This window comes from Homo sapiens, chromosome 2 (genome assembly GCF_000001405.40).
Source record: "Homo sapiens chromosome 2, GRCh38.p14 Primary Assembly".
Taxonomy (NCBI): Eukaryota; Metazoa; Chordata; class Mammalia; order Primates; family Hominidae; genus Homo; species Homo sapiens.
Window position 1 is genome coordinate 57378455 of NC_000002.12, and position 20178 is coordinate 57398632.

The 20178-nt window shown below is 37.9% G+C and overlaps 1 annotated feature.

Annotated features, from left to right (window-relative positions):
* Positions 18872-19471: an enhancer, noted in NCBI's record as "H3K27ac-H3K4me1 hESC enhancer chr2:57624461-57625060 (GRCh37/hg19 assembly coordinates)". NCBI's record gives its function as "activates a minimal SCP1, AML or CMV promoter by ChIP-STARR-seq in naive H9 embryonic stem cells {active_cell/tissue: H9 hESC(naive)}" and the evidence as "EXISTENCE:reporter gene assay evidence [ECO:0000049][PMID:30033119]".

Genomic DNA, 20178 nt, shown 5'->3' on the forward strand with positions numbered 1-20178 from the left:
AAATAAATACATAACCATCTTGTATCTTGGGCTAGAAAATTAACGATGTCTTTATAGAAAACACTCAGAAAATCACCACATTGCATAGACTGCCACTACACTACCATAGGGACTATTGCTTAAATAACCAGGTTAAAGAGGCCGGCGCGGTGGCTCATGCCTGTAATCCCAGCACTTTGGAAGGCCGAGGCGGGCGGATCACGAGATCAGAAAATCGAGACCATCCTGGCTAACACGGTGAAATCCCGTCTCTACTAAAAAAAATACAAAAAACAATTAGCCGGGCCTGGTGGCGGGTGCCTGTAGTCCCACCTACTCTGGAGGCTGAGGCAGGAAAATGGAGTGAACCCGGGAGGCGGAGCTTGCAGTGAGACGAGATCCCGCCACTGCACTCCAGCCTGGGAGACACAGCGAGACTCCGTCTCAAAAAAATAAATAAATAAATAAAAATAAAAAATAACCAGGTTAAAGAATGATGTAATGATGTATGCCAGATGTGATAGTTCATACTTGTAATCCCAACACTTTGGAAGAAAGAGGCGGAAGGATTGCTTGAGCCTGGGAGTTTGAGACAAGCCTGAACAACATAGTGAGACTGTCTCCATAAGAAGGAAACAAAAAGAATGCTGTATTATCACTGGCAGTTATGGCCAATGAGACACAATTGGAAGTCTTCCGGATGGAGTTACTAGAAAAGCTACTGTTTCTCTGATTAAGGAGAATGACAAATGCCGGGGATGCATGTGTTTTGTCCCTTGCCCTTCTCTAATTTCTTCTGGAATATGATTCTAGTCTGAACTTGGATTGCCATCTTGACACCAAGACAATGAATCATTTAATTAGTAGAGTGGAACTCTTGAGTTCTAAGAGTCTGAGTTCTAGGTGATTACAAGAAAAGCTATGCCATTCAATAAACACAACTTTTTACTTATATTGATGTTAACTTTGGATTCAGTTACATGAAGATAAATGTAATTCCTAGAAATTAACTTTCTCAAGAAAATATAAGGGTAAGAATGCCTGTCAAAAATATGAAGTCAAATTCTAGAATAAGAACAACAATAAAAATAAATGTAAATTGGTTAATCACACTTTTTAAGTTTCTAAAAATGAATATTTTTTATCCATCTATATTATTGACAGATATTTTGGACAGCATTTTGGAAATATGAAATTTTAAGAGAAGACACAACATAGATATTAATCTAGGAACCAAATTAAATAGACTAAAAATAATCCATTAATAGAAAAAACTAAATGAAATATAACCTATTCATCATTGACTATAATGTAGCAGTTTAAACGATTATACTATATCCAAATATAGTATATCAACTCAAACAACATATAATAATTTTTAAACAATTTTATAACCTTATAAAATATACACACATGCAATATAGGTTTTTAAAACTTTCTAAATACTACGTATTTTATAATAATGTTACCCTTGAGGATTTACCTTATAGGTAACATTTAGAAATTTTTTACATTATACATTTATAAAAAACAAAATGTAAATATTGTGAATGTGGAATTAAAAGTTATGCTGTGAAAAATATATATGCAGCTATCTTGGAACAGGCCCCAGTGCTTACCAATAAACCTGGAATTAGCAGGAAAGGTTGGAGTAAATAAGTGTAAAATGTGTAGCAGTTCCTCTTGCAAATCATGCTCTGAAAAGAAAACATTACAAAATTTGGTGTTCAGAAACACAGATTCAAAAATACTATTTTAAATTGTCACATAAAACTATTTAAAACCGTAACTAGCAAAATTAAAAATTAAAAGTAAGAACACAGACTGATGAAATTCCTAGGAGAAATTCCTAGAACAAGAAAAAAAGGAAACACAAGACTTATCAATCACAAAACTTTAATTAATTAGTTAATTAATTAGAATTTAGAAAAATGGATTTATATCAACAAACACAGATGCTCCACTAGTAAGTAAGCACATCTTACAATTTAAAATAAATTAGAGTAAAGGGATAAAACATTAAGAATATCTCATATATACAAAAATACTTTTGTTGTTGTTGTTGTTGTTTTGAGATGGATTCTCGCTCTGTTGCCAAGGCTGGAGTGTAGTGATGCAAACTCAGCTCAGTGCAACCTCCACCTCCCAAGTTCAAGTGATTCTACTGACTCAGCCTCCTGAGTAGCTGGGATGACAGGCACATGTCACCACGCCTGGCTAATTTTTGTATTTTAGTAGAGGCGGGATTTCACCATGTTGGCCAGGCTGGTCTTCAACTTCTGACCTCAAGTGATCTGCCCACCTTGGCTTCCCAAAGTGCTGGGATTATAGGCATGAGCCATCGTGCCCAGCCAAGAAAAAGTAATTTAATAAAATCAAATTTATTCCTGAGTTTTAAAATTCTTAGTAAAATAAAAATATAGAGATTGTAAATATGGTAGAAACTTTTTATACCTATTTTATACCTGTACCTTCACCTATTCTCACATGTGCACCTTATCAATTTAAAATAAATGTTAAAACAGAGATAAGACTGACAGAATAGACTCTTTGTGGCAATAAGATACCAAGTTTTAAAAAGGACCTATGGCCTTGCCAGGCAAGGGTTAAGTCATGCATTCTACACTTAAAGAATAAACTATAACTCCCAAAAGGGTTTTTTTGTTTTTGTTTTTCTCTAGCTCCTAAACATGCATTGCCCTTGATATAAACAATATTAATGTTTTTTTCTTGTAAATTTGTTTGAGTTCATTGTAGATTCTGGATATTAGCCCTTTGTCAGATGAGTAGGTTGCGAAAATTTTCTCCCATTTTGTAGGTTGCCTGTTCACTCTGATGGTAGTTTCTTTTGCTGTGCAGAAGCTCTTTAGTTTAATTAGATCCCATTTGTCAATTTTGGCTTTTGTTGCCATTGCTTTTGGTGTTTTGGACATGAAGTCCTTGCCCATGCCTATGTCCTGAATGGTAATGCCTAGGTTTTCTTCTAGGGTTTTTATGGTTTTAGGTCTAACGTTTAACTCTGTCAGTGTGGTGATTCCTCAGGGATCTAGAACTAGAAATACCATTTGACCCAGCCATCCCATTACTGGGTATATACCCAAAGGACTATAAATCATGCTGCTATAAAGACACATGCACATGTATGTTTATTGCGGCATTATTCACAATAGCAAAGACTTGGAACCAACCCAAATGTCCAACAATGATAGACTGGATTAAGAAAATGTGGCACATATACACCATGGAATACTATGCAGCCATAAAAAATGATGAGTTCATGTCCTTTGTAGGGACATGGATGAAATTGGAAATCATCATTCTCAGTAAACTATTGCAAGAACAAAAAACCAAACACCGCATATTCTCACTCATAGGTGGGAAATGAACAATGAGATCACATGGACACAGGAAGGGGAAAATCACACTCTGGGGACTGTTGTGGGGTGGGGGGAGGGGGAGGGATAGCACTGGGAGATATACCTAATGCTAGATGACGAGTTAGTGGGTGCAGCGCACCAGCATGGCACATGTATACATATGTAACTAACCTGCACAATGTGCACATGTACCCTAAAACTTAAAGTATAATAAAAAATAAATAAATAAATAAAAAGAAAAAAAAATATTAAAATAATTTTCAGCTCCACCAGCTGTGGACTAACTGCACCCCTGTTTCACCAGCCATAACTACACTTTTCACTGGACAAGAGACTAATTTCAGTAACTTTCCCCTGATAAGAAGACCACAGACCATGGACTGTTTCTGGCCAGTTCAGAGATTGTGCATTTGCGTGCCTTCATGTCCTGAAAAGACCATTTAAGATATAAACCCCAATTATAATACATTTAAATGTTAAGTCTCCACCCCAAAGTGAACATGGGTCATATGTTTTGTGTGTTTTTCTTCAGTCTGCATCTGTCAGGACCACCTCCATCAATATTCATAGCTTCTCCTGTAACCTGTTGAATATATATGTTTAGCTAACCTGTTCTGCATAAAGCAAGCTTTTACCCCAATCCCTCCTCTTTAGAAGTGTCTGTTTCTGGTCTTGGCCTGAGGCATGCTCCCAGGCCTGCAGGTGGCCGCCTTGCAGGCCATAACCCTTTATAAGAAATAAAATCTCTTCTCCTTTTCTAAACTTATACATCTTGATTTTTTTAACAACCTCTATCTATACCTATTTCTATTATTTCATCACTACAGTCTACTCCCTATATGGCAGCTGAAGGATCTTTCCAAAACTTAATATTAGATTATTTAATGTGCTGATGATGTATTCATAATAACATTTTATCTCATTACTACAGTCAGTAAGGCCCCCATGTGATCCGTCCCTTGCCAAATTTCTCTGACCCCATCTCCTATCAGTCTCTCATAATTCATGATACTTGAATCACACTGAAAATAGTTCATTTTTTTCCCACAGGCCAAGAATCTTCAGCTTCTACTTCAAATGTACACTTACAAAGCTCCTGTTTCCACATAGTTGGCTGTTTCTCTTAGACTGGCAAAGATTGAAAAGTTTGGCAATAGCAAAAAACTTGCAAGTGCTTGGAAAATAGGTATTTCTATTCACTGCTGATGACATTGAAAAGTGGTGTAAGTCTTTGAAGGAAATTTAATGGTAATTATTGACATCTTAAAACCATATACCCCTTGTCGCAGAAATTTTATTCCTGGGAAGGTATTGAAAGTTTCTACCTATAAAGCACCCTATGATCCATACATAGAGATATTTATTGCAGTATGTTTATTGCAGAAAGCTGTAATGACCTAAGTGCCCATCAATAGTGAATTGGTTGCATAAATTATGGTATTTTCATATGCAGGAAACGATGAAAATATTTCTAAAGAATAAATAAGATAAAAGCCTTAATATAATAGTATGTATAGAATGATCATGTTTATATTTAAAGGTTAGTATATATGTGTGTGTGCACACATTCACATAAAGCAGTTCCAGATGATAACTTAAGAAAATATAAATAGTGTTTATCTCAGGGGTTTACAACAGGGAGACATCAGGTAAATGGAATGGAATTTTATTATTTCTAAACACTTCTCTACTGTTTGTATTTTTTTCACCTTTAATATCTATTCTTAAGGAACAAGTTTATCTATTAAACCCTGTACATATGGTGTATTATAAATAACAGAAGCATAATTGCTGAATACAAAGGTATTAAGTCATTTTGGTTTTTGCTATGTATTAAATGCTATGTACAAAAATTTGCTACTTATAAAGTTTGTGCCAAATTGTACTCCAAACAGAAGTATAAAATGTTTTCACTTTCCCAACATCCTTATCAGTTATCAATTATGGATGTTATCAGTTAACTATATACAAACACATCCTAAGTCATATGTGTATTTATATAGATATGTCATATCTATATATATATTCAACTTGAAATAATATTTTAACTTGTATGCTTATTGGGCTTTGAAAAAAATCACAAAAGCATTGGACATTTGCTTTTAAGACATTCAGTTTATAACTAATTCATAGCTTAGCATTATCCTTAGGTTGAAATAAATGGACTATTAAATATGATTGCATTTAATAACTGGAAGGTGAATATCTATTGGATTATTTTACTCCTTCAAATTATATTTCTGTATAATGCATAACATTCTCATTATATACATATGAATTGATTTTCCACAAATCTATGAATTACCTATCCAAATTTACATTCATCCCTCTGAGAAATAATAAAATATATAGTTTATTAGAAATGAGTAAACTGGTGGCTAGACTATAAACAAAGTGGTAAAACTATAAATATAGTGTACAGATATAAGCATCTTTTCAAATAGCTTCAGGATTACATTATTATTTTTAATTTATAAAGAAAGATATTAAATATCCAAGAAACAATTAATTCCATAAATGTATTATTATTGGAATTGCAGGGGTTTTGTGATATATTTTTCAAAATTGTGTGCTTGGATAATATTAAATAATTATTTACAGTCACTTCAATATTTTTAATTTTCTTTTTCTCAGGAAGCTCTAAATGTACTCACAGATTTTGACATTAATGACAATAACCATAAACATTTTGACATCTATGAAATAAGTCCCCAGAGCCAAAGGAGCCTGAATTTTCATGCCTTAGAATGAAGGAGCAACCTGAAATAACTGTATTTTGAATCAGTCTTTAAAAGTCAAATAATAAATGACAGGGAAAGGGATCATAGCATATGTACTCTCCATGGAAACTCTCTGCTCTTGATTTCATGAAGTTCCAAACAGGGGCAAACTGGCTATAAGGAAGGATGGCAGAGACAAGTACAGCAGTAATGACAGAAAATATTAATAAGCATTCTGACCTCAGGGAAAGCAGCTACCCCAGAAGGAAGCATAATTCTGGAAGAAATTAGGTTTCAAAATTGTACCTGCATGGCACTAAGTTGAGGATGCCAATTCCTCCTGTGTCCCTAAATATTCAGCCAGGAAAAACTGAAGCCTGTATTCACTTTGCAATTATATGCTTTCTTGCCTGAAAATCATGGTAGCAGTGACATGAACAGGAGACAGGGAAATACTGGGTAGAAGAGGGTGGTTTCCCAGTAAAGGCCCAATTGTCAAGCCTGAAGACCCACGGCCCTTTTGAGGACAGGCATTTCTGTTTTTGTGCCCAAAAAGTTGCTTTTTGGTCTTCTACACACCCTATCCTGCCGCCATATAAACTGGAGACCTTAGCGGGCACACACCAGCAGCTGGACATTGGAACCAGTAGCCCAGCGAAAACAGAACAACGCAGAAGACAAAGAGAGAAGAGGAAGGACGTCTGGACACCAAGGGGATTTTAGGCAGTGGTGGTTGGAGAACAGTCTGGCCGCTGGGCAACCCAACACCAGGGAAAGACCATCTTCCCACTCCATCTCCTCACTTCTGGCTCCCCATCCATCTCACTGATAACTGCCTCCACTACTCAGTAAAACCTTGCACTCATCCTTCCAGCCTATGTTTGATCTGATTCTTCCAGTACACTGGGCAAGAACTCAGGATACAGAAGGTTATCACACTATCCCACTGCCCTTGTGATAAGACAGAGGGAATACTGAGCTGATTAGCACAAACAGTTTGCAGATGGCAAAGCTGAAAAAGCACACTGTAACACATGCTCACTTGGGCTTTGGGAGTCAGAGACCTCCACCTCTAGCTGCTGTGGGGCCAGAACGTGTTTTCTTTGTCTTGTGTCTTGGATATCAGCTCAGCCACAGTAGAACACAGTCCTAATTAAAGTCATGAGGCCCCCATTTTGGCCATAGTCCCTGGATGACATTTCTAGGCACACACTTGGCCAGAATGAAACCCACTGCCTTAAAGGGAAGGACTCATAACCTGCTGACAGCCCTTGGGCCCAGAATAAGCAGTAGTACCCAGGAATTGCATTGTGGGCCTTGGGTCCAGGTGAGACCTGGCACATTCCAAGCTATGGTGGCTATAATGAGAGACTCCTGTTTGAGAAAAGCAGTGGGGAAGTAAGAGAGACTTTGTCTTGCACCTTAGGTATGAGGTCAGCCACAGGAAAGTAGAGGATGAAGTGGGCTATTGGGGTCTCAGCTTCTAGGCCTTGCCTCTTTCATGGCATTACTGAGCCTTCCCTGGGCCAAAAGGGAGCCCATTACCCTCAAGGGTGAATGCCAGGCCTGGCAGCATTTACCAAAAACACACTGAAGAGCCCTTGGGCTTGAAGTGAATATCATTGGTAAGCTGCAGTGCACCTCATGGGTCTGTGAAGGTAGTGGCCACAGGGTGAAGCTCCTCTGCCTGCAGAAAGAGGAAGGAGTAGTTGGAAGGGCTACATGTAATGGTTTGAGTGCCAACTCAGCCACAGTATAATAGAACACAGGTAGATTTCTAAAGTTTTTTACTCCAGACTGGGGCTCCTGGACAGCATTTCTAAACCTATGTGAGGTGTCAGGGGCCTTGTCACCCTTGAAGTAAGAAAACAAGCATGGCTGGCTTCCCCATCTGCTGATTGTAGAGCCTGAGGGACTTCAGTAAACACAGGCAGTGGCCAAGTAGTGGACACTGCAGCCCTTGGGCAAAACCCAGTTCTGTGCTGGCTTCATGTCTGACTCAGCACATGTTTCACTTATTTGTGAGATCTAAAAATCAAGTTGTGAGTGCTTGTGTCACCCCACCCACAGCTCCAGGTGGCTCAAAACAGAGAGAGAGACTCCTTTGTTTTGGGAGAAAATAAGAAAACAAGAGTCTCTACCTGGTAATCCAGAGAATTCTTCTGGATCTAATCCAAGTTCACCAAAGTATACCTCAATGAGTCTGGAAGAATCACAGCATTGCCCTTGGGGTGTCCTCTAAAGTAGATACAGCTTAGATCACAACAGCCAATTCCTTTTGAATGCCTGAAAAGGCTTCCCCAAAAGGACTGGTAGAAACAAGCCCAGACTGCAAAGACTACCACAGATACCTAACTTTTCAGTGATCAAACACCAAAAGCATAAAACCATCTAGGAAAGCATGAACTCATCAAATGAACTAAATAAAGCACCAGGGACCAATCCTGGAGAAATTGAAATACGTGATCTTTCAGACAGAGAATTCAAAATAGTTCTTTCAAGGAAACTCAATGGAATTCAATATAACACAAAGAAAGAACCTGGAATTCTAGCATATAAAATTAACGAAGACATTGAAGTAATTAAAAAGAATCAAGCAGAAATTCTGAAGGTGAAAAATGCAACTGATATACTGAAGAATCCACCAGAATCTTTTAATAGAATTAATCAAGCAGAAGAAAGAATTAGGAGGAGATGAAGTAAAAAAGAGAATAATACACAATGAAGCACACCTAAAATACCTAGAAAATAGTCTCAAAAGGGCAAATCTAAGAGTTGCCATAAAGAGGAGTTACAGAGAGAGATAGGGGTAGAGAGTTTATTCAAAGGGATAATAACTGAGAACTTCCCAAACCAAGATAAATATAGCAATATTCAAATACAAAAGGGTTATAGAACACCTAGCAAATTTAATCCAAATAAGACTAGCTCAAGGTATTTAATAATCTTAAGAGTCAAGTATAAATAATGGATCCTAAAAGCAGTAAAAGGAAAGAAACAAATAACATACCGTGGAGCTCCCATATATCTGGCAGCAGACTTTTAAGTGGAAACCCCAGGAGAGACTGGCATAATATATTTAAAGTGCTGAAGGCAAACATTTTATGCTAGAACAGTATATCCAGTGAAAATGCCCTTCAAACATGAATGAGAAATAAAGACTTTCCCAGACAACCAAAAGCTGAGGGGTTTCAAAAATACTAGACCTGCGCTATCAGAAAAGCCAAAGGAAGTAATTCAATCAGAATGCAAATGACATTAATGAGCAATAAGAAATCATTTAAGGTACAATCCTCACTGGTAATAGTAAGTATGCAGAAAAACACAGAATATCATAATACTGTAACTGTAGTGTGTAAACTACACCTATTCTAAGTAGAAAGACTAAAAGATAAACCAATCTAAAATAATAATGACCACAACTTTTCAAGACATAGACAATAAAATAAGATAGAAACAAAAAAATTTAAAACTACGGTAATAAAGTTAATGTGTGGAGTTTTTACGTTTTGCTTGTTGGCTTTTGCAAAGAATGTCATAATAAGCTGAAAACAATGGGTTATAATATAGTATTTTCAAGCCTCCTGGTAATCTCAAATCAAAAAACATACAACAGATATACAAAAAATAAAAAGAAATTAAATCACACTACCACAGAAAATCACTTTCATTAAAAGGAAAACTGGAAGGAAGGAAAGAAGGACAAAGAGACCACAAAACAGGAAACAAATAACAAAATAGCAAGAGTAAATAATTATTTATTAATAATAACATTGAATGTAAGTGAAATAAATTCTCTAATCAAAAGACATGGAGTAGCTCAATGGATAAAATAATATGGTCCAATGATCTGTTGCCTACAAGAACACACTTCGCCTAGAAAGACACATAGACTGAAAATAAAGGGACGGAAAAAATATTTCATGCCAATGGAAATCCAAATAGAGCAAGAGAAGTTAAACTGATACCAGATAAAATATATTTCAAGACAAAAACTTAAAGAGGAGACAATAATGATAAAGGGTCAGTCCAACAACAGGATATAATGATTGTAAACACATATGGACCCAACTGCATCTATGGAAACCAGTTATATAGAGCAAATATAGAATCTGGTTATATAGAGCAAATATTCTTAGAGATAGAGAGATTAACCTCCATACAAATAAAGCTGGAGACTTCAACACCTCCCTTTCAGCATTAAACAGGTCATCTAGACAGAAACAACAAAAAAGCATTGCACTTAGTCTGCCCTATATAACATATAGACTTAATAGATGTATAGAGAACATTCCATCCGAATGCTCAACATCACTGATCATCAGAGAAGTGTAAATCAAAACTACAATGAGATATCCTCTCACCCCATTTAAAATGGCTTATATCCAAAAGACAGGCAATAAAGGCCTGTGAGAATGTGGAAAAAATGGAAGCTTTGAACACTATGGTGGGCATGTAAATTAACACAACCACTATGGAGAACAGTTTAGAGGTTCCTCAGAAAACTAAAATTCAGCTATCATATGATCCAGCAATCCTATTGCTGGGTGTATACCCAAAAGAAAGCAAGCCAGTATACTGAAGATGTACCTGCACTCCCATATTGGTTGTAGCACTGTTTACGATAGCTAATATTTAGAAGCAATGTAAGTGTCCATCAACAGATGAATAAATAAGGCAAATGTGGTACAAATACACAATGGAGTACTATTAACAATAAAAAAGAATGCGATCCAGTCATTTGCAACAATATGGATGGAACTGGAGATCATTACATTAAGTGAAATAAGCCAGGCACAGGAAGACAAGCATCACATGTTTCACTTATTTGTGAGATCTAAATATCAAAACAATTTAATTTGTGGACATAGAAAGTAGAAGGATGGTTACCAGAGGCTGGGAAGGGTAGTGGGGAACTTGAGAGGGGAAAGTGTGGGTAGTTAATGAACAGAAAATAAAAAAGTTAGAAAGAATGAATAAGACCTACTATTGATACCACAATAGAATAACTATAGTCAATAACTTAATTGCATATTTTAAAATAACTTAAAAAATGTTATTGGATTGTTTGTAACTCATAGGATAAATGCTTGAGGGCATAGGTACTCCATTCTCCATGATGTGGTTATTTCACATTGCATGCCCATATCAAAACATCTCATGTACCCATAAATATACACACCTACTATGTGCCCACAAAAATTTTTAAAATAAATAAATAATATAAATAAATTAAAAAAGAAAAAATAGAACAGAATTGTAAAAAGCACATTACCTGACTTAAAACTATACTAAAGAGCGATAGTAACCAAAACAGCATTGTACTGGCATAAAAATAGACACATAGACCAGTGGAACACAATAGAGAACACAGAAATAAATCCATACATCTACAGTGAACTCATTTTTGTCAAAGGTACCAACAACATACCCTGGGGAAAAGACAAGTTTGTAATGGGATACAGTAGTAGTAGTATTGTTACCAACAAGTCTGGTTCCCCAGAAAATGGGGTCTTTCACTGTTCAGTGTTATGAAACTAATATGTAAAACAAAAAGTGGGCATCAAGCAGTGCAGAATTGATTCCATGGCCATGAAATTGAGAAGGGGGAGAACGGCTCACTAATAAACTCAACTAATGAGGAGTAAGGGGTTAAAATATAGGATTTCTCTGGTGATGGGATTGAATATTAAAAATGAGAGAAGGAATAGTCATGTCTTTTCCGGAAATGAGTGGTGAACTTCTGCCTTCATTTAGTCCTTTTAGGGCTTCTTCTGGTCATTGTTATGGTGAGAGATGGGAATGTTATTTAGCATGGAAATGGGATTATAGTGAAGCCTGAGGTCTTTTTTAAGTTATTTGATTGGCTGTGATGGTTCTAACCAATCTCAGCTGGTCTGGTTACAAAGGACACTTTTTTTCACAGGTCTCTTGTTTCTTAAAGATAAGCATAACTAGGGCAGGGTAGAAATTCAGCTATGTCATGAAAGCATTACACAGGGTAACAGTAGTAGTAGAAGTAGTATTACCTGTAGTATTATCTTCATAATCATTGGAAATACTAGGAACTTTTTAAGTTACATTGTATAAAAAACAATGGCTGAATTTATTGCAATAAATCTCATGAGTAGGTTCTCAACAAAGATAGTGGTGGTGGGAATAGTGAGGAGAGGATGACCTGAGAACTGTGTAAGAGAAGAATCAAACACATCTGACCAGTTGGAAATGAGTATAAAATGTAGAAGGAAGAGTTTTATCCTCTAGTTTGGAATTCACAAATAGTAAATTTGGGGTATATTTCACAAGTAGTAAAACAAAGAGTGTAATACATCAGGATATGCTCTGATACATTAGTGCCTATAGAATTCAGGCTGAGAGCCATATGAGAAGTTGTTGCAAATACATAGCCTTTTTTCTACTTTTTTAAAGTATTGAGATATTAGGCATCTCTGTGCCGAGCTGCAGGACAAAAAGACCCTGTAGCAGTCAAGCCCTGCTATTCGTTGCACCTGCTCTGCATGCTCCTCAATGATATCTTCAGATTTGCCTAACAGCCCCATTAATATCTTTATCTCTGATAGCCTGACTCACCATATCTTTAATAAAACCCTTGTTCACAGGGTGACCACAATGCCTCTGCTCATTTTAGGTGCCTAAGTGTTCTAGCCTAGTAATTATCTTCCTCAAACGGCTCCCTTTTTAACCTATGCTTCTAGCAGCGGAGTTTCTTTGTTGCTATGGATTCTGGACAGACTATTTTGTCAATCCTTGAACCCAATATTCTCTTTTGCAAACAGTTATATACTAAAGTCGATATTTTCTTTTACCTCATTTCCTTGTTAATAGACAAAGACATATATTGAGAATATACTTGTCTGGCATCCTGCTGAGATTAGTCCTTGGATTTCTGCTGACTTTAATCTTTATAAATGATCTAGAGAAAGGCAGTGACTGTGAACTAACTGGAAATACTAATCAGCCAAAATTGCTGGGGAGGAAAGAAGTAGAGGAAGCTACAAACCCAACACAGGTGGAGTCCAATATGCCATGTAGCTAAGTGGGTGTGTGGTAAACTGACATAATAAGGAACCTTGTGAAGAGCACTACAAATTGGAGATAAATGATTAAGAAATATGTAACACCATTCAGTTGAAATGCATGAAGTTTTGGGCATAATTATGGATCAGTCACCCCGAAAGGCATTAAATGTGTGAAGCTTCAATTAGACCAGGAAAAGGATAAGATCCACTAAAATAGTATACTTGAAAACAGAATTGTATTTCAATTTATTTTAACTTTCATTTAAAAATACTAATGAGAGAAGAAACAGAAATGTGGTATCAAGATTTGCTGCCAGAGACTCATTTAAGAAACTGGAGCGTTTGCGTATGTGTGTTTGGAGTTCATTGCAATTTAAAGTTTTGATACATGCATACACTCATAACTACCACCTAAATCAAGATATACACACATTTTTTATCAGCCTAACCTAGAAACTGTTCTTAAATCCTCTTTAAAGGCAACCTCACTTTTTCTACAGGAAGCTTCTTTCAGTTCCTTCTATACCCGTAGATTCATATGGCACGAACCAGGATTTCATATACATGAAATAATATAGTATGTGCTCTGTGTTTGGCCAGCATTTGGCTTCTGAGATTAATTCAAACTGTTTGGTTTATCACTACTTCATATCACAACTTTTTAATTCATTATCCCACTGATGGACACTTTCACCATTTTTGTTTGGGGCTCTTTTGTGTGTGTGTTTAAAGCTTCTGTGAACTTTCCTGCAGAAGTCTTTCTTTCTTTCTTTTTTTTTTTTTTTGAGACGGAGTCTCACTCTGTCATGCAGGCTGGAGTACAGTGGCATGATCTCGGCTCACGGCAAGCTCCACCTCCCGGGTTCATGCCATTCTCCTGCCTCAGCCTCCCGAGTAGCTGGGACTACAGGCGCCTACCACCACGCCTGGCTAATTTTTTGTATTTTTAGTAGAGATGGAGTTGCACTGTGTTAACCAGGATGGTCTCGAACTTCTGGCCTCATGATCTGCCCGCCTAGGCCTCCCAAAGTGCTGGGATTACAGGTATGAAGAAGTCTTTTCTTTTTGAACATATGTTTTAATGTATCTTAGGAATTGGATCATAGAGTAGTTATGTATTTCCAACTTCTGAAAACCTCTGGGGTTCCTTGGCTTGCAGCAACGTAAGTTTAATCTCTGCCTCCATCTTCACATGACTTTTCTGTGTCTCTGTGATCTCTCCTTTCCTTATGAGTAAATTAGTCATTGGATTTAGGGCCCACCCTAACACAGTACAACCACCTCCTAACTCAATTAACTGCAAAGACCAGATTTCCAAATAGGTCACAGTCTTAGGTCTCAGATGGTACAAATTTGTGATTACATGATTCAATACACTAGTACTATATACTAATATTATATAGAAATACAATTTATTTTTTAATGTCCTAGTGTCTCATGACTTTGCTGAAGTTATTTATTAGATACAAAATTTGTCTTATACATTTTTAGAGTTTTTATTTTGTACAATCATGTCTGATCATCTGTGAATAAAGGCAGTGTTACATTTTTCATTTCAATCTGTATCTTTCATTTCTTTTTCTTATCGTTATGCTCTCAAAACAACCTCCAGTACAATATGAAATAAACATAGTATGGAGAAACCCCATCTCTACTAAAAATACAAAAAAAATTTTACTGGGCATGATGGTGCATGCCTGTAATCCCAGCTAATCGGGAGGCTGAGGCAGGAGAATCGCTTGAACCCGGGAGATGGAGGTTGCAGTGAGCTGAGATCATGCCATTGCACTCCAGCCTGGGCAACAAGAGCAAACTCCATATAAATAAATAAATAAATAAATAAATAAATAAATAAATAAATAAATGTAGTATGTCTATACTTCCTTTCTCCAATTTTAAGAAAAAAAGCAATGGCTATGGATATTTTACAGATGCCCTTTATCATATTAAAGAATGTTATTTCCATTCCTATTTTGTTGAAATTTTTATCACGAAAGGCTGTTAGATTTTCTTAAATGCTTTTATTCAACATATTGATGAAAATGATCATTTTTTTTTTACTTTGTTAATTAAGTGAACTGCATTGACTGATTCTGGATTGTTAAAACATTTTGTATTATCAAGATAAACTGTACCTTCTTTATTATTTATATTTTTGTGCATCCAATTTGCTGATATTTTATTGAAAATGTCTGTGCCTATGTCCATGAGAAATGTTACTCTCTCATTTTAGTTTACTATAAAGCCTTTGTTCAGTAGGTACCAGGGTTAGGCTGATCTTATGAAGCAAGTTGAACCGTGTGTTCTATTTTCTGAAAGAGTTGTGTATGACTGGAATTACTTATTCCCTAAATAATAGAAAAAATTCACCAACGAGACTCTATGAAACTGGAGTTTTCTCTGATAGAAGGTTTTTGATGAGTTCCATTATTTAATAGATTTATTCATATTTTCATTTATTCTTTGTTTTATTAAGTGTATTTTATAATAATTTGTCAATTTCAACTAGTTTAACCTACAAAAGGAATTCATAATATTCACTTATTTTAATTTTATTGTTTGTAGTTTCTGTAAGGATTTCTTTTATTTTCTTCCTGACGTTGGTGATTGATATTCGTAGTGTTTCAACAATTGTATTAATCTTTTCAAGAACTAACTTTTGGCTTGTCAAGCCTTTGTTTTTGTGTTTTAATTTTTCTTCTTTTCTGCCGTAATTTTATCATTTCCTTCTTTCTACCATTTATTTGTTTCATTTACTTATCTTTTTGTAACTTCTTGAAAACATTCCCTTATAAGTGTTGCTTTAGTTCATAGACTAAATTTTGATATATTGTATTTTCATTCTAATTTAGTATAAAACATTTCCTATTTTTAACATTTTCTCAAATTTTCCTTTGATTCTTGCGTTACTGAGAAGTATATTATTTCTTGATTCTCAGTAGTGTTCCATTGGTCTATGTAACTGTTTTTATTCCAGTACCATGTTGTTTTGGTTACTATACTCTGTGATATAATTTTAAGTCAGATAATGTGATTCTTCCAGTTTGTTCTTTTTGCTTATGATAGCTTTGGCTATTTTGGGTCTATTGTGATTCCATATAAATTTTAAGATTATTCTATTTCTGTGAAGAATATCTGGTATTTTGATAGCGATTACGTTGGCTCTGTAGATTGCTTTGGGAAGTATGGAAAATACTGCCCAATTTTTATTTTTCCAGTCCATGAGCATGAAATCGTTTCATTATTTTTTGTGTTCTCTAAAATTTCTTGCACCAATGTTTTATAGTTTTCATTATAGAGCTCTTGCCCTACTTTGGTTAATTCCTAGGCACTTAATTTCATTTGTAGCTCTTGTAAAGGGGATTACTGTCTTGATTATTTTTTCAGATTGTTCACTGTTGGCATATAGAAATACTTCTGATTTTTGTATGTTGATTTTATATCCTACAACTTTACTGAATTTTTAAAATCATTACTAATAGTTCTTTTGGTGGAGTCTTTAGGTTTTCCAAATATAGTATCGTATCATCTGCAAACAAAAAAAAATTTGACTTCTTCCTTTCCAATTTGGATGCCCTTTATTTCTTTCTCTTATGTGATTGCTGTAGCGAAGAGTTCCAGGACTATGTTAAATAACAATGGTGAAAGTGGGCATTCTTGTCTTGTTCCAGATCTTAGAGAAAAGGCTTTCATTGTTGCCCATTTAGTATGATACTAGCTGTGAGTCTGTTATATGTGGCCCTTTTTGTATTGAGTTATCTTCCTCCTAAACTCAGTATATAAGGGTTTTTTTAAGAAGAAATGTTGAATTTTTATCAAATGCTATTTCAGCACTAGTTGAAATGATCATATGGTTTTTATCATTCACTCTGTTGATATAATGTGTAACTATGATTTGATTTGTACAACAGGTCTAGTGTTGTTGAAATCCCTTAGCATTTGTTCATCTCAGGAAGTATTTCTCCTTCATGTTTGAAGAACAATTTTGGTGAATATTCTATGCTAGGATAAAAGATTTCCTCCTTTAGCACTTTAAATATGTCATACCACTCTCTGCTGGCCTGTAAGGTTTTCACCATGAAGTCTGCTGCTAGATATATTGAAGCTTCATTGTATATTTTTTTTTCCTCTTGTTACTTTTAGAATCCTTTCTTTCTCCTTGACATTTGGGAGTCTGATTATTACATGCCTTCAGGTAGTGTTTTTTGTATTATATTTGCTTATCCTTCTATAACCTTCTTGTACTTGAATATTGATATATTTCTCTAGGTTTGGGCAGTTCTCTGTTATTACCTACTTGAATTATTTTTCTACCACTATGTCTCTTTATAACTCCTTTTTAACGTTCTTAGATTTGCCCTTTTGTGGCTATTTTCCAGAACTTGAAGGCATGCTTCATTTTTTTTAATTCTTTTGTCTTTTGCCTCCTCTGTCTGTGTGTTTTCAAATAGCTTGTCTTCAAACTCACTAATTCTTTCTTCTGCTTGATCAATTCTCTTGCTAAGAGACTCTGATGCATATTTCAATATGTCACGTGCATTTTTAATCTTCAGAATTTCTGCTTGAATCTTTTTAATTATCTCAATCTCTCTGTTAAATTTATCCAATAGGATTCTGTATTTCTTGTTTATGCTGTCTTGAATTTTATTGAGTTTCCTCCAAACAGAGTCACCGTTTTGAACATCAGAGCACCGATGTTTATTTAAGACCCAAAGGCTCCTAAGTCAGCTTGTGGTTATAGTTGTCAGTCCAGAATCACTCCCTCCAGGCCAGTGGGCTCTCCTGTTGTCCAGGTTGGGTGTAAAAATGCCATACAGGAGTCAAGGCCTGGAATAGGGGACCCCGGAAACCCACTTGGTGATCTACCTCACTGTGGCCGAGTTGTACCCAGGATGCATGACAAGGTCCTCATTTACTCTTCCTTCTCCTTTTCTCAAGCAGAAGGAGTCTCTCCCCATAGGCACCATAGCTAAGAATGTGCTGAGTCACGCCTGAAGCCAGCACCGCTCTGATTCTCACCCCAGGCCCACCGTGAGTACTGCCTGGCTACTACTGCTGATTATTCGTGATCCAAGGGCTTTTTAGTCAGCAAGTAATGTGCCCTGCCAAGGTCACAGGATCCTTGGGGTGTTGCTTTTCTGGCCAAAAACCTCTGGGCCAGTGGTACCTCTGCCTGAGTTTTGCTCGGGCTGGCTGGCTTGTTCCACCTACTTGGCCAAGAAGGCTGTACTCAGCTCATGCCACTAGCCTGGATCCCATGCCTGCCAAGGGCAAGCCAACCACAGAGTGGTGAAGGGTGTATGAGTGAGTGAGCGTGCAGTCTGGCAACTGTGCACAGCCAGGCACTCTGGCTGTGGTAGGGTGGGCAGCTCCAGGTTCCAGCATGGGCACTGGCTTCCTGCTAGGCTGCAGTTGGACCAGGAGTACCGCAAGCAACTTCCACAGCTGGCACTGGGGAATGTTGTTGTGCCTGGACCATAAGCTTGGAGATGCCAGGAACCACAGAGCCTCAAAGAAAGTGACATAGCTCTGGCTTGGGGAGCTCCTAGGTCTGGGCTTCCCAAAGAGCTCCAGCTCTTCTCTCCTTCTTTCTTCTCTCCTTCTCTCTTCTCTCCTTCTTGTTGCCCGCAACATGGTGAGCAAGGGGCATGTTTCAGTCCTGTCAGTTACTGCTCTTTCAACCCTGCCATTCAGCGGGTCCCAAGTTCTTGTCCCACATCCAAGAAAATGAGGTACATGGACAAGTGGAGGGTGAGCAAGGTGAAGAGGAGCTTTACTGAGTGACAGAACGGCTCCGAGGAGACCTGCAGTGGGTAGCTCTTCTCCACAGGCAGGTGTCCTGACAAGAGTTCAGCTCTCAGCAGAGAGGAGACACACAGTGGGTAGCTCCTCTCTGTAGGCAGGTTATTGGGTCATCTGCCTGAGTCTGGCGCAGTTTGGGGTTTTTATGGGCTTCACAGGGGAGGAAGTGTGTGCTGATTCGTCCATGGATGGCTGTGAGTGGGCCCAGAAAAAGCACCATAAGTTCTCATTCTGCTCAGCGGAACTGGCAGCCCAGCCTCCAGGTCTAAGGCCGTCCCTGGCCTGAAGGTGGGATTTCGCCGGGGACCTGCCCCTTTCTGCCCAGGAACCTGTCTGCCTCCTGCCACAATTAACCTGCCATCCATGGTGCCCATGGCATCCAGGCTTGCCTGCAGGCCTGCGCCAAGCCACCCTTAGCCTCCCTTCAGCCTCCCTCGCTTGCCTGTTAGTGCCCAAAGTCTGGAGGAGGCTGAGGTGGCAGGGAGCTGGCATGTCAGCACTGCCTCGAGCACATGCACACCCAGCCAGGTCATGATAGTGCCTGAGCACAGCCACAACTTCGCTCTGAAATGTGAGCAGGTGCTGGGAGCAGGGAGAGGCCAGGCAGTGGGAGCAGGCACTTCTGAGCCAGGGGTGGCTTTCCGGGCCGCCGAGAGTGTAGAGATGCCAAGGTTTGCAGAGGTGGCTGGGTGGCTACAGCTGTGCCTGGAAGGGAGGAGCTCTTGCCCCTCCAACTTGGCAGGGGCGGGGTTTCTTCCTGTTCCTGGCTCCCACTGACACCATGGAGCATGCAGCTTTGGCTGCGCCTCCCCAACTGCACCCAGCGTCAAGGGCAACGGCCGCTCCAGATGGGCCACCGCTGCCATCACCGGGACTGCGTTCTTTCCTTCAAGACAGGGGGTTCCCTTCTGACCAAGGGTGTCTCCACAAATATTGCCTGGGAGCTAGGGCCTAGATTAGAGACTTTAGGATGCTGCCTTGTGTCCTATACTATAGTGGCTGAGTTGCTATCCAAATTGTGAGACAAATTATTCTTTACTTTTCATTCTCCTCTCCTCAGACAGAGGGAAAGGGTCTCTTCCAGAGCTGTGAGCTGCACTGCCTGATGTTGGGAGAGGAGCAATGCAAGCACTCCTTTGGCCACTCTAGCTGGCAACTCACTAAGTTGTGTGTCCCCAGCACAGAACTAGTACTCACCCAGTAATTCTAGTCCTGTGGCCTGGACTGCCTTTCATGTTTATTTAAGACCCCAGAGCCCTT